Genomic DNA, 15,196 nt, shown 5'->3' on the forward strand with positions numbered 1-15,196 from the left:
GGCTGAGGTAGGAGGATTGCTTGAGCCCAGAAGGTTGAGGCTGCAGTGAGCTGTGATCGTACCACTGCACTGAAGCCTGGGTGAGAGAGTGAGACCCTGTCTCAAAACAAACAAACAAAAAAAAGGCAGGATAAAACTATTATGGTATGGCCCCATTTTTGAAACTATATATACAAATATTTATAGACAGATAGATATATCATATACATATTTATCCCTCTCCCCACATACTTGTGAGTTTGTATATGTGTATGTATACGTGTAAGGAAGTATACCAAATAATGTTCATTTCTGAGTTGTGGAATTATGGGTGCCTTTTACTTTCCCCCTTAACACATTATTTTTCATGTTTTCTAAATAGTACCATCATATACAATTAGGAAAAAATTACTTTCATATTGTTTAATCTAGTAATCTATTTGTAGATATGTATCATAAGAAAATAACCAAAAACGTAGACAAAAACTTATGCATAATAATGTTCATATAAAGATACACAGAAAACTATTAATAAATAATGGTTACTTCTGCAGGGCAGAATTAGGGTAAAGACTTATTTGGGGACTTATTTGTTATATCTATTACAAAAATGATTTGAAAAAAATTCCATTATTATTTGAAAAAACCTGAAAGCATATAAAAATCCTATATGATAGACTATTATGCAGCCACTACAAATATTTATGAAGAGTATATATAAATTTATATAATGAAAAAATGGTAAATGGGGAAAAAAGCAGAATATAAAATTTTAGGTAATATATGATCTGGAAATTGCAAAACCAGAAATATACAAGCACAAAATACTGAAAGAAAATAGGCTAAAATAAGAACAGTAGTTTTCTCCAGATAGTGGGATTACGGGTGATTTCAGTTTTCTTCCTTATACTTCTCTGCGTTTTTCACATATCCTAGAATGAATATATACTATTTTTCAATCAGGCTTAAAAAATGTTTTTGGTTTCTGCCCTATAATGAAAAGCCTGCTCCTTGTGTGAAATTTTATCCACAAAGGATTATCAGTAGTAAGCAACCCACTAGCAAGAAGACTGTTCATAATGTATATGCCTAAGAAAATCATCTTTGGTGGGTCAGTGAGCTCAGTTTAAAGGGACACAGCTCTGACCACTTCCTGCCTTCTTGCTTTTGGAGTTGTTTTAGTAAATATAACTGAGGAATCAAGTTCTCAAACATGAGATGCCTGACAAACTTAATACTGTACTGTAAGAACCAGGACCACCACCTTCTCTCAACCTAACCTCTAAGACTTTACACTTAAGAATAGACAAGACCGGGCCGGGCGTGGTGGCTCATGCCTGTAATCCCAGCACTTTGGGAGGCCGAGGTGGGCGGATTACCTGAGGTCAGGAGTTTGAGACCAGCCTGACCAACATGGAGAAACCCCATCTCTACTAAAAATACAAAAATTAGCCGGGCGTGGTGGCACATGCCTGTATTCCCAGCTACTCGGGAGGCTGAGGCAGGAGAATCGCTTGAACCCAGGAGGCGGGGGTTGCGGTGAGCCGAGATCACGCCTATAGCCTGGGCAACAAGAGCGAAACTCTGCTCAAGAAAAAAAAAAAAAAAGAATAGACAGGACCTAAATAACATAGATTGGGTCATGTTAGTCTGTAAATCAAAAACACTTAACAGCTAATTACATGAAGAATAAAATCCAAATTTCTTAGCATAACGCTTAAGGTTCTCTAAGATCCAACCCTCAAATTTCCTTCCCAGCCTCATCTTCAGTTCATTCCCTAAAATATCCTCTACCTCAGGCACATTTTCCCCATACATGCCAGGCATTTTCCAAGCTGTGTGCCTTTGCCCATGGTGTGACCTCCATTAAATGCCCTGTCTCCTAAACCTACTGAACTCCTATTCTTCCTTTACAACCTGGCTCAAATGCCTTCTCCCAAACTCTCCTTATCGCCCCCACCATCAGGAACAATTGTTCTTTCCTCTATGTGCTCCCATATTGCTTGTTCCTCTACAAACTTAATTACAATCCTCCCTGGGTGGATGCTAGCTGTAATACTTGTTTCATTTTACTAAACTCCTGGAGGGCAGAAACCATTTTAAAATCATTTCCACTCCAGCACACTGCTTGCACACAGTAGGTACTAAATATGCTGCCTGAGTAAATGACAGCCAATTGGCCCTTATCTGAATTCTTTCAGTGGTACAGCCAGGGATGGCAAATTGTCAAAGCTAGTCCCTCTAATTGCAAGTTATACATATAGCATGAGTGACCAGCAGAAAATGCCAAGGGCCTGCCACTTTAAGAGGACTGGCAAGATGACTATGTTTACACAATCCTAATTAAAACTAAAGGGCAATGAGGGAAAGAAGAGAAATAGGGAGATTAAGAGGTGTGGATTCTACAGGTCACCTCCTCTTCTTAGTGAGCTTGCTAGGCACTAGGCTGGAAGATCTGAGCTACAAAGTAGCCTATTTTATCTTTGGGGTAGCCTGTAGGATCTAAGTATTGAAAAGCAACTAATTAGGCCACTTTGTCCTCCAGCAACTGGCCCTGCTCTTGGGCATTAACTTCCAACTGGTACACAAGGCTTTTTCTCTAAATGAATCCCACTGTACCAATCACTAGGAGAATCCCTTTAAAAAAGGCTTGAAATTAATAACAGCAGGAAACAAAGTCTCTCAATCCTCTGAATCACAATATCCACACTGTCCATTTTGATGAAATTCACCCCCACCTCCTTCAAACAATAGGTCCTACCAAGGAATGACTTCTCTCAGGACCAACATGTCCTGTGATTGTTTTTCTGGAGCAAGCTTCCAGTGCCTGCTTCTCATTAAATAGCTACTTAATGTCTGATCACCCAGCTGTGACTATAAGTAGAGAGTAAAGTAACTATAATTTAGGAAGTAAAAAAGAAATTCCACTCCTACCCCAAGTCCAGTAGTCAAACAGCTTAGAATAGACATTTCCCTACCTCAAACCTTCTTAGGCTTATCCAATTTTCAGATCTAGAATTTTTAGCATCTCTTAACTCTTTCAATATAAAAATGAGGAAAACAATGTTTAGAGTAAGAAAGAGAATTGCAAATGATTATACAGTAACTTAGTCACAGAATCTTTTGACCAGGCTGTCTAACACCTCATTTAACTGATGAGTTTTCAAGACCACTGTTTCCAGGAACAGGTTACAGGGCACTACAATATAATCAGCTTAATTTGCATATATTCAAGATAACAGCCCCTAGGCTTGACCCCTTCACCATCTTCCTGCCTACCTTTTTTCAAACCCACAACTGCTAACAACAACAAAAAAATCAATGTAGTGATTTAATACATCATTTCTGCCTAAAAAAAGACTGGAGCTACCAAACCATCTGCTTCAGCCTCACCACCTGGGATTCATCTTGATTGATTTGGGTGTGTTGGTGGGCAGTGGCTGCCACAGCCTGAAGAACTCTTCCAACTCTTTCTGGGGGTCTTCTGGAGATGGGACTGCAATGGCTCCTCAGCTGCAGTTTCCTATAGAGCAACATGTTGAAACACACTTGTTCCCTCAACACACTTGTGTTTCAGCCCTCAACACACTTGTGATTTGGGAGGAGTACCAGGAGAAAGACCAGTTTTTGGCAGGGCGCGGTGGCTCACGCCTGTAATCCTAGCACTTTGGGCGGCCAAGGCGGGTGGATCGCTTGAGGTCAGGAGTTCAAGACCAGCCTGACCAACATGGTGAAACCCTGTCTCTACTAAAAATACAAAAAATTAGCTGGGCATGGTGGCACATGCCTGTAATCATAGCTACTAGGGAGGCTGAGGCAGGAGAATCGCTTGAACCCGAGAGGTGGAGGTTGCAGTGAGCTGAGATCCCGCCATTGCACTCCAGTCTGGGTGACAGAGAGAGACCCTGTCTGGAAAAAAAAAAGAAAAGAAAGGCCAGTTTTCTCCATTATCTAGTCACCCCAACCTATAAGCAAGCATATGCACAGTCACTATAAAGGAAAGTGACTTGTTTTCCAGCAGACATTTCTAATCTTATTAAATCAAATGAAAACTGCAATCAAAATACTCTCCTTAGGAAGTTATTTACTTATTCTAACAAAACACTTCTTTGGGAGCTGCCTTTAAAGTCTACTCCATGTGAGACAAACAGAAAAATTCGGTGTTACTGTTTTATAGTCACACCTCATCCTTCACCAAAAAAGGTATTGCCTTGCATGAATCTTTGGCTCACGGCATCTTCTGGCTGTTTCTAAAAATTGAATCCACCAAGCTAAGAGTAAAGATTTGCTACCTCTGAGGATATTCAAAAGATTGGCTCAGAGGCAGTCTGAGGCAATGACACCATCACCAAAGGAAATCTAAAGGCTGAGAACACAATTACTTTGAAGGGGTCAAACTTAAAAACATTCTAATTGCCCCATAATTACAATCAAGGGGGCAAGACATGTACAATATCTGTCACATTTGTTCAACTATTATATCACTTTATAATTACACATTATATAATGATAAATTTTGGCCCTGGAAGAAATCTTCAAGATCATATAATCCTAACTGTCCCTTTTTACATATGAGAAAAGTTCAGTCCATTGAGGTTAGGCAATTTGTCCCTGGTCACACATCTGGTTAGCAACAGTCAGGATGAGAAACCCAGACACCCAAACTCCCAGCATAATGCACCCACACATACTTATGTATACAGCTCCTCCTCCCCTGCTTCTCACTTCCTTCACTCCCCTGATCAAAAGGGACAGAAATAACTTGGGACACTAAAGCACACCAAGAATGGTTCTGAAACCCAGTAGCAGAGAAATGATGGCTTAAAAACCAGGACTTCTCTGCAGTGGCCTCAATGGCCAATGTTTAGTGTCTGGCTCACAAGAGTTCTGGGCAATCTACCTCAGAGCAAGGGCCAATGAAAACCTCTGGACACCACCCTCCCACAGTTAGAAAAATATCTTTATTAAACCTCTCTGCTCTCCTCCTACAGTAACCTGTTTGCCTCAAATAATTGAAAGACAAAGACAATCACTTTGAAGAATCTGGGTCAGGGAAAAAGTAAATGGTAGAGATCCTGCTCAGGACAAAGCTGACCTATGAAAAACTAGAGGGCAGAAACCATTTTGACTTACCTCCTGGTGGAAGCCTCCACACACTAGAACAGGGTGATCTCCAGCAGTCTGGCTTAGAATTAGTTTCCACCTAGGGAAGGGGCAAAGGGACAGGAATGATTATTCATTCCCCTAACCCACCCACTCTTAGTGAGCTCAGCCTCACATTATCCTGGGCAACCCCAGCGTTCTGTGGATCAGACAGCAAGCAGAAGGGAAGCCATGCAGGCCAGGTCAACGGGGTGAGTCAGTGGCAGAGCAGGAAGAGTCACTGGGGCAGAAATTCTGGCCTTCTGTGGCAAGACTGCCAAGCCACACCCACACTTGGTCAGCACTGTGAAGGCCCTGCCCTGTTAGGATTTCAGTCTTTAAGCCAGAAAACTTCTTCCTCAGGAGGCCCCACACCACTCTCATTTTCAAGTGTCTCTCCTCCTGCTCAAAAATCTTCCAGTTTTCTTCTCCCTAAAGCATCATATCTAAATTCTTTGGCTTAACTTTCCAAATCCTCCATTATATGGCCTCAAGTCATTTATTCAACCTTATTTCCCACTATTCTACAGAATATACTCTGAATTGATCAAGCCAGTCTTCCCACTTCTCTCTGCGTGAGCCAAGCCTTTTCTCATTTCCCTGCTTTCAATTATCCAGGAGTGGTAAATTCAAACATCTTCAGGGGTCAGGCAGGTAACAGAAACAAATTATCCAGGCAAGGCCCAGTGGCTCACAGCGGTAATCCCAGCACTTTGGGAAGCCAAGGTGGGCAGATCGCTTGAGCTCAGGAGTTCCAGACCAACCTGGGCAACATAGTAAAACTCCGTCTCTACAAAAATACAAAAAATTAGCTAGGTGTGGTGGAGTGTGCCTGGGTCCCACCCACTTGGGAGGCTGCAGTGAGCTGAGACCGTGCCACTGGACTCCAGCCTGGGCAACAGAGCGAAACCACGTATCCAAACAAAACAAAATGAATGATCCAGTGGGGCACATGGCAGATCTAGGAAACGCTGCACCCCCCTAAAGGCATTCAAATATTTTAATTCAAATATTTATGTAGTGTCTCACTGTGAGCATCACGATAACCTTTTAAATAGTTATTAATACTCTATCTTGCAAATGAGAAAACTTCCCCAAGGTTAGGTAACTGGCAAAATGCTGGGCACAGTCTCTAGACCTGTCTGATGCCAAAGCAAGAGCTCTACACCATTAGGCTTCTAGCAGTGCAAACACCATGGAAGATACAGAACCCTCAAAGTCACTTTTCATGATACACAACCTTAATAGTAGGATGGGAAGCCCAAATCACAGCTTATCTAACCATATCCCAACTGCCTCCAATTCTGTTCATTTTCCAAACCCCATCTTTCTGCCAAAGTATTTCATTCCTAGTTATCCAAGTCCTACTGAATTCCTTCTTCTGTAAATTCCTATAGGGTTTATAGATTAGACAACACAAATAAGTGCTAAATTATATACTGTCTTGCAAAATCAGATACTGCTTCTATGTATTTTAGTGTCAGCCTCATCAATCAAACTATTGTATTAATCTATATAGTTCTTCTACCAAAAATGCCTAACCTGAATCTAATCAAGAAGAATCAGACAAATGCTATGAAAGACAAAAAGGCATTCAGATTAAAAAAGAACTGTTCAAAGTTAAAGCAGACTAAAGACATGATAGTCATGACAACTAAGTGCATAAATACATGCATGATCCTTCAATGAATCCTGAATTTTAAAAAACTCAATAAAAGACATCACTGGGAAAAGATGAGAAATCTGAACAAGTATTATATACTGGATGTATTGAATCAATGTTAAGTTTCCTGAGTGTTAATAGTACTGTAGTTATATAGGAAGATACCTTTTTCTTAGGAAATACTTGCTGAAATAGGGATTAAATAACATGATATTTACATCTAACAGTCAAAAAGATTCAGAAAATGAAGGATAAATAGACAGCAAATTTGGCAAAATGTTAATAGTGACTCTAAATGAGAAGTATATAAGTATTTGTTACATTATTTTGCAAAATATCTATAGGTTTGAAAATTTTCAAAATAAAATAATTTAGTAAGGAGGGAAATCCTGTATTATATACTTTTTTATATACTCAGCTCTGTGACAGATATAATAGGCACTCATTACTTTAGGTATCTGCTCACTACCTAAGGAAACTGGGCATTTGGAGGTCAGCAATCAGACAGAGTCCACTTTGCTGCAGCTCATGAGGGGTATAGTAGGAAATTCTTAGGGAATAAGAGGTTTCTCCAAAACTCACATTGTCACACCACAGGAAATCTAGAAAAGCAGGCAATTACCTCACTCCTCATTGAGGCCATCACAGAAGTACAGGCACTGAACAAATGCCCACTCGCTAGGCAGAATGCAGCTGCTGCCCACACGTTAGTACCCAGTGGTAAGGTGGATACAATGTGACCTCAGAGGACCAAGAGTTGAGGTCACATTGCATCCACCTTGCCACCGGGTACCAAAAATTTGACAATCTGCAAAACAAGTGTCTCTGGCCAGTCACAGGAAGGCACTCAAGTATCAAATAAACATGCCTGAAATATATGCAGTCTTTCCTCCTCACCAGATAAACCAGTCCTCAGCTGCAATAAGGCAGAAGAAATCTGCAAGGCTGAATCACTGGTATTTCCTGTGCAGACTTCAAAGAAACTGGCCCTTCAATAGGACAGAAAGGGCAGGCGACACAGCTGCCAACAGAGGCCTCAACCCAGGAGCATGCTATGCAATAATGCCTTCTCTCCCTTCTACAGCCATCAGATACCTCATTTTTACTTCTGCCAAATGGCCCCTTATTACCGCGACTGATTACCTAATAGCCAACCCTTTACCTTGGTTCTCTCCTCCCCTCAATGAGACCCAAGATACTGGCCTTTCTAGACAGCTCCTCCTCCAATTTGCCAGAGGAATTGTCAAAACTATTCCCCTGGCCAGGCACGGTGGCTCACGCCTGTAATCCCAGCACTTTGGGAGGCCAAGGCGGGCGGATCACACTGTCAGGAGATAGAGACCACGGTGAAACCCCGTCTCTACTAAAGATACAAAAAATTAGCTGGGCGCGGTGGCGGGTGCCTGTAGTCCCAGCTACTCGGGAGGGGAGGCTGAGGCAGGAGAATGGCGTGAACCTGGGAGGCGGAGCTTGCAGTGAGCCGAGATCGCGCCACTGCACTCAAGCCTGGGTGACACAGAGCGAGACTCCGTCTCAAAAAAAAAAAAAAAAAAAAGCTGCCTAGGCCAGGCACAATGGCTTACACCCATAAACCTAGCACTTTGCGAGGCCGAGGCAGGAGGATTGCTTGAGCTCAGGTGTTCAAGACTAGCCTGAGCAACACAGCAAGACCTTGTCTCTACTAAAAATCAAAAAAATTAGCCGGGTGTAGTCCCAGCTACACTACTTAGGAGGCTGAGGTGGGAAGACAGCCACTGCACTCCAGCCTGGGTGACAGAGCGAGACCCTGTCTCAAAAAAAAAAAAAAAAAAGTTGCCCACAGTAGGAGGTAGAGGAGAGGCCATTATTAAGCACACTCTCAGTAAACCATGAATCTGACAGAGCTACCCAAAACATCAATGCAGTCTTAAGCTGCATTAGTAGAAGATGACTCTATGCCCCACCTTTGAAGAGCAAAGTTAGAGGACTTGCAGAGGAAGAACACCAATGACCATGGCAAAGGGTCTAGAAGTATATCATTTCAAATATGGAGGAAGAACTACACACTTTTAGCCAGGGGAGAACAAGAAAACTTTTTTCAAATATACGCATAGCTTTCACATAGATGAGGAGAAAGACTTATGAGTCCACTATAAGAATACAAAACCAGAACTAATGAGTGGAAGTTACAGGAAGACTGATTTTGGTTTGCCACAGGGAAGAAATTTCAGCATGTTGTAGAAGTTCAGAATGTGGGATGTAGAACCCAGAATGCTTGGATTAGGATGTCAACTCCACCACTTATAAACTGTGTGGCTTTGGGGAGATTAATCTACCTGTGCCTCAGTTGCCTTCCCTGTAAAAGAGAATAGTAATAATAGAACTTAGCTCACAGAGCTTTAAGAAGTAGCTTCCGAGGCTGGCTGCGGTGGATCAGGCCTGTAATCCCAGCACTTTGGGAGGCTGAGGCAGGTGGATCACCTGAGGTCAGGAGTTCAAGACCAGACTGGCCAACATGGGGAAACCCGTCTCTACTAAAAATACAAAAAAAATTAGCTAGGCTTGGTGGCGCATGCCTGTAATCCCAGCTACTCAGGAGGATAAGGCAGGAGAATCGCTTGAACCCAGGAGGCAGAGGTTGCAGTGAGCCAAGATCACGCCATTGCACTCCAGCCTGGGCACCAGGAGCGAAACTCCATCTCAAAAAAAATTAACCAGACGGTAGTGGTGTGCGCCTGTAATCCCAGTTACTCGGGAGGCTGAGGCAGGAGAATCATTTGAACCTGGGAGGTGGAAGTTGCAGTGAGCAGAAATCACACCACTGTACTCCAGTCTGGGTGATAGAGAGAGGCTCCATCTCAAAAAAAATAAAAAGAAGTAGTTTCTGTAAAGTACTTAGAACAGTGCCTAGTTCACAATATACGCTGGAAAAAAAATGTTACCTATTGCTATTACTAAATGTTGATACAACAGACCAGGCTGGGTGTGGTGGTTTGTGCTTGTAATCCCAGCACTTTGAGAGAACTGCTTGAGCTCAAGAGTTTGAGACCAGCCTGGGCAACATAGTGAGACCTCGTCTCTACTAAAAATAAAAAGAGTTGCCAGGCACAGTGGCGTGCACTTGTAGTTCCAGCTACTCAGCAGGCTGAGGTGGGAGGATAGCTTGAGTCCAGGAGATCGAGGCTGCAGTGAGCTATGATGACGCCACTGCACTCCAGCCAGAGTGACAGAGCAAGACTCTGTCTCAAAATAACAAACAGGCTGGGTGCAATGGCTCACGCCTGTAATCCCAGCACTTTGGGAGGCTGAGGCGGGTGGATCACCTGAGGTCAGGAGTTCGAGACCAGCCTGGGCAACATGGTCAAACCCTGTCTCTACTAAAAATACAAAAATTAGCTGGTTGCAGTGGCACGTGCCTGTAATCCCAGCTACTTGGGAGGCTGAGACAGGAGAATCACTTGAGCCCGAGAGGCGGAGGTTGCAGTGAGCCAAGACTGTGCAATTGCACTCCAGCCTGGGCGACAGAGTGAGACTCCATCTCAAAATAAATAAATAAATAAATAAATAAATAAAATAAAAATAATATACAATACAAAAAACAGACCAGATAACCTGAAGCCCTTCCTACTAAATATGCCTAGAAGTGCTCAGAAAAATATAATAAACATCCTTCTAGACTGTGCCAGCTATTAAGGTATTGTCTCTCAGCTCCAAATCTACCCTGTTATGCTCCGCTTTGTGATGCTGGGGCCTGGACTCCACTAAACCCCATTTCACATTTGCCAGCTGGATCCCTGTCAACAGGGGGTGCTAAGGGGAAAACAGAAGACAAGAGAAGGCTACAAGGGACTTCCTCCTTCTTGTAGCCTGGTGTTTCTTGACAACAGAAGTTGGTTCTTCCCAGTTGCCTTCTAAACTCCCAAAACCAGCCTCCTGCCCCTCAAAGGCACCAGCATCAGCTAAGTAAGGCTCAACAGAAGCCAGCTCCTCCAGGTTCCTCCTATAAGGGCCTGAGAAACCAGCAGCACCAGGTAACACCCTCTCCAGAGAATCTGGGTACAGCTATTCCAGATCCCTCTAGACTTCTAGGTTCTGGTAGCCCCAACCTTCCTCCCTTTGTTTTTCAGTCCTGGATGAGAAAAATTCTTTATGCAGTTATTATATTGAAGTTACTTTAATATTCCCTTTCTGCTTTTTCAGCCCTCCACCAAGGGTTTAAATCAATCTCCTTTATGGAGTTCACTCTATTGTGTGGTTTCTGTTTTGCTGATTGGATCTGAACTGACATATAGATAAACTGAGCTCTCAAGAAAGTAAGAAAAATCCCCAGGAACCAGAAACAAATTAGTGAGGAGGATTAGCGAGCTGATGACATAGCTGTCCTAGCCGTGTATGGAATTTGTAACACCCTCATAGGTTCAGAAGACAGATCTTGAGTCCACAAAAGGCACTGAGATCCCTGTGCAGAGGCTGAGATTCTTAAGTTTATACTCAGTAAGATAATAGACTAGGAAAAAAAATCTGTCCAGAGAGAAATAAAAAACTTGCCTTGCTCACCTAGTGAGAAAGGAGGGAAAAACCGTCTAGGAATTCAAAACAGGCTGGGTGAAGTGGCTCACGCCAGTAATCCCAGCACATTGGGAGGCTGAGGTGGGTGGATTGCTTGAGCCCAGGAGTTCGAGACCAGCCCGGGCAACATGGCAAAACCCTGTCTCTACAGAAAATATAAAAATTTGCCGGGTATGGTGGTGTGCACCTGTAGTCCCAGCTACTTGGGAGGCTGAGGTGGGCGGACTGCTTGAGCCCAGGAGGCAGAGGTTGCAGTGAGCCAAGATCCTGCAACTGCACTCCAACCTGGGCAACAAAGCCAGACAGATCCTATCTCAAAAAATAAAATAAAATAAAATAAAATTCTAGGAAGCAGACATTAATATGTAGTGAAAAACAAACAAACGATCAGTGGTTCCTGGTATCAGGGTGAAAGGAAAAACGGACTGTAAAGAAGTATGAGAGCCGGGCACGGTGGCTCACGCCTGTAATCCCAGCACTTTGGGAGGCCGAGGAGGGCAGATTACCTGAGGTTGGCAGTTCAAGATCAGCCTGACCAACATGGTGAAACCCCATTTCTATTAAAAATACAAAATTAGCTGGGCATGGTGGTGCATGCCTGTAATCCCAGCTACTCAGGAGGCTGAGGCAGGAGAATCGCTTGAACCCAGGAGGCAGAGGTTGCAGGGAGCCGAGATTGCACCACTGGACTCCAGCCTGGAGAATAAGAGTAAAATCCATCTTAAAAAAAAAAAAGCATGAGAAATCTTTTGGGGGTGAGAGAAATCCTCTGTATCTTGATTATGGCTGCTGTTTACAGGTGTAGACATCTGCCAAAACTCAACTTTCTTGAAAATTATTACAGACACAAAATTGAAAACATGAGACAAAAACAAGATCACGAAAAACAAGCAGATTTGAAAATGAACCAAAGAGCACTTCTAATAAATGAAAAAGTTAGCTAATAAAAATAAGAATTCAAAAAACAAATTAGACCTAGCTGAAGAGTAAACTAGTATACTAGAAGATAGATATAAGGAAATTATCCAGAAGTTAACACAGAAAGATAGAAATGGAAATTATGAAAGAAAGAATAAGATGTAGACGACAGAATGAGGAAGTTCAACATAAGTTACGCATGAGATCTGAGAGAGGTAAAGAGGTAATGATTGGGAATTTTTACACAATTAGTGAAAAGATATGAAATTTCAGATTAAGGAATTACTATATGCCCCCAGTATATAGTGATTTAAGAAAATTAAATTCACACCATGTAATGGAAGTACAGAACACAAATGACAGCAAAGAAGATCTTAAAAACAAACAGAAAGAAAGACAGGTTACCCACAATAAAATAAGTTAATTTGCAAGCATAGTTCTCAAGAGTAACAACAAAAAGCCAGAATTTCAATGAAAAAACACTTTCAAAGTGCTAAGAGACAATAATTGGAAGCCTAGTACCCAGCTAAACTACCAATCAAGACTGAAAGTGAGCTGGGCACAGTGGCTCATGCCTATAATCCCAGCACTCTGAGAGGCCGAGGCGGGAGGATCACAAGGTCAGGGGATCGAGACCATCATGGCTAACACAATGAAACCCTGTCTCTACTAAAAATACAAAAAATTAGCCAGGCGTGGTTGCGGGCGCCTGTAGTCCCAGCTACTCGGGAGGCTGAGGCAGGAGAATGGTGTGAACCTGGGAGGCGGAGCTTGCAGTGAGCCGAGACTGTGCCACTGCACTCCAGCCTGGGCAACAGAGTGAGACTCCATCTCAAAAAAAAAAAAAAAACAAAAAACTGAAAGTGAAATAAAGATTTTTTAAATGAAGACAGTGTTTACCACTAACAGATTCCCACTGGACAAACATCTGAAGGATGTATGTATCTATGCAATAAAAAAGGAAGGAATAAAATGCAAGGAAAAATAGTGAAAAAGCAAACAGTAGACATACATGGGTAAAATGAAATAATCACTAACAATACAAAACAATAAACATATTTTAATTGTGTTGGGGTCTCACTCTGTTGCCCAGGCTAGCTAAGAACTCCTGGGCTCAAGCCATTCTCCCGCCTGCTCCTCCTGCCTCAGCCTCCAGAGTAGTTGGGATGACAGGGCAAGCCACCATGCCCAGCTACAAAATAATAATTATCAATTAGAATTGTTCAGCTTAGAGATGGATTGACTTTGGGAATGATCTCATTCTAGAAAGTACTCATTTTGAGTCTGGACAACACCTTTTGGTATGTTTAGTGTACACTGGGTAAGAGGCTAAATTAAATGACCACACCATATATTAGGTTAATGCAAAAGTAACTGTGGTTTTTGCCATTACTTTCAATGGCAATAACTGCAATTACTTTTGCACAAACCTAATATCTTCTGATCATAGTTTTATCAATTAGACACAGCTGTCCAAACAGCCCCTGATCAGCTCTGTTCAGCCACCTGAGCAGGGCTTTGCCCTCATCCTAAAAGTTCTAGAATTCAAGTCTTATTTCAAGGCATTCTTCCCACTTCCATGTTCCACATGTAAAAAAGAATTCTACGTTTCTTAACGAGCTTTCAGGTAAGATCTTTAAGCTTTTGGAATGTACCGCTTTTCGCTGTGAACTAAGAGCTTAGACATTACAATTAGTCATCCCTTGCTAGAACTTAGGCTACGAAAAGAATACTTTGGAAGCTTTCACAAAAAAGTATGTGGTTCTTCCTCTAAAGAAGAAAATACCACACAGAAAGAGGGACTGAGGAAACATAAACCCATCTGTGCTGACAGAAAGCTACCTTACATGATCCTCATGTTCGCCCCAGGTTCCCATATATTCACAGCAGTAAAGATCTCCACAAAGCAGAGAGGCCCAACTCCCTTACCATTAAAGCTTTAACGACCAGACAACCCAGAAGTTTGGAAACATAGAACCAGGCAACAGATACTAGAGAGAGGGAATTATGTATTAAAGCAAGAAAATATCATCACGTTTTCAAGAGGGAGTGCCATTCCAGTAAAGAGGACAGCTTAATACTGAGGTTCAAATGCCACTAAATGAAAACGGGAAAGCGAAATTCCTGTGCCCTTTCAGCCCAAGAAATTATTCCAAAGCATACATTTATTCCCATTACATGTCGCAAATCCTGCCTAGCCATTAGGATACAGTGACGAAAAAGTCTCTCGTTATCTAGAAGGGCAGACAAACACGCAGACTTTTAAAATACCAGATGGCAGGCCGGGCGTGATGGCTCACGCCTGTAATCCCAAGCACTTTGGGAAGCCGAGGCGGGCGGATCACGAGGTCAAGAGTTCAAGACCGGCCTGGCCAAGATGGTGAAACCCTGTGTCTACTAAAAATACAAAAGTTAGCCGGGTGTGGTAGCGGGCGCCTGTAATCCCAGCTACTCGGGAGGCTGAGGCAGGGAACTGTTTGAACCCGGGTGGCAGAGGTTGCAGTGAGCCGAGATCGCGCCACTGCACTCCGGCCTGGGCGATAGGGCGAGACTCCGTCTCAAAAAAAAAAAAAAATGACAAGTGCTAACTCAGAGGTAAGCAAAAGAGAGTACCCAGAGGCGGCAGCATCAACCCAGTGGGCTCCCGCCCACCCACAATCTTCACACAGTCACACCACTTATAGTCATAAATTTGTACTCTCCGAGGTGCGTGTATGAAACATGTTATCTGTGAGAGTCCATGGATGAAAAACAAAAACAAACAAAAATTAAAAAAAAAAAAAAAAAAGACTTAACCTGTTTTGACCAGGACAACCACCCCAGGAAGTAGGTAAGGCAGGTAAGGTCATTGTTTACATATATGAAAAGTGAGGCTCAAAATACACTGACCAGTCCAAGACAACGCGCGCCCCCACAAAGCACCTTCCCCGTCCCCATTTATGCCCA

At 42.6% G+C, this 15,196-nt stretch overlaps 1 protein-coding gene and 1 non-coding gene across 33 annotated transcripts in view; both read right to left on the minus strand.

Annotated features, from left to right (window-relative positions):
• The window catches only part of NUMA1 (nuclear mitotic apparatus protein 1), a 77,679-nt gene that overhangs the window by 61,866 nt on the left and 617 nt on the right, over window positions 1-15,196 (minus strand). For 18 of the 32 annotated variants that reach the window (NR_104476.2, XM_017017830.2, XM_047426997.1 and 15 more), the window contains exon 2: window positions 5,113-5,182. The exons of 4 other annotated variants lie outside the window; for them this stretch is intronic. The gene's annotated coding sequence lies outside the window, so the exon portion shown is untranslated. Of the gene's footprint in view, window positions 1-3,375; window positions 3,503-5,112; window positions 5,183-5,257; window positions 5,365-15,196 lie in introns of those variants that run through there. 10 more of the 32 variants (XM_047427026.1, XM_047427004.1, XM_047427010.1 and 7 more) reach the window with 2 other exon arrangements.
• MIR3165 (microRNA 3165) lies at window positions 7,499-7,573 on the minus strand. The gene has a single exon (NR_036123.1). It is a non-coding gene; the product is annotated as a microRNA 3165 (primary transcript).

Source organism: Homo sapiens, chromosome 11 (assembly GCF_000001405.40).
Source record: "Homo sapiens chromosome 11, GRCh38.p14 Primary Assembly".
NCBI classification, from domain to species: Eukaryota; Metazoa; Chordata; class Mammalia; order Primates; family Hominidae; genus Homo; species Homo sapiens.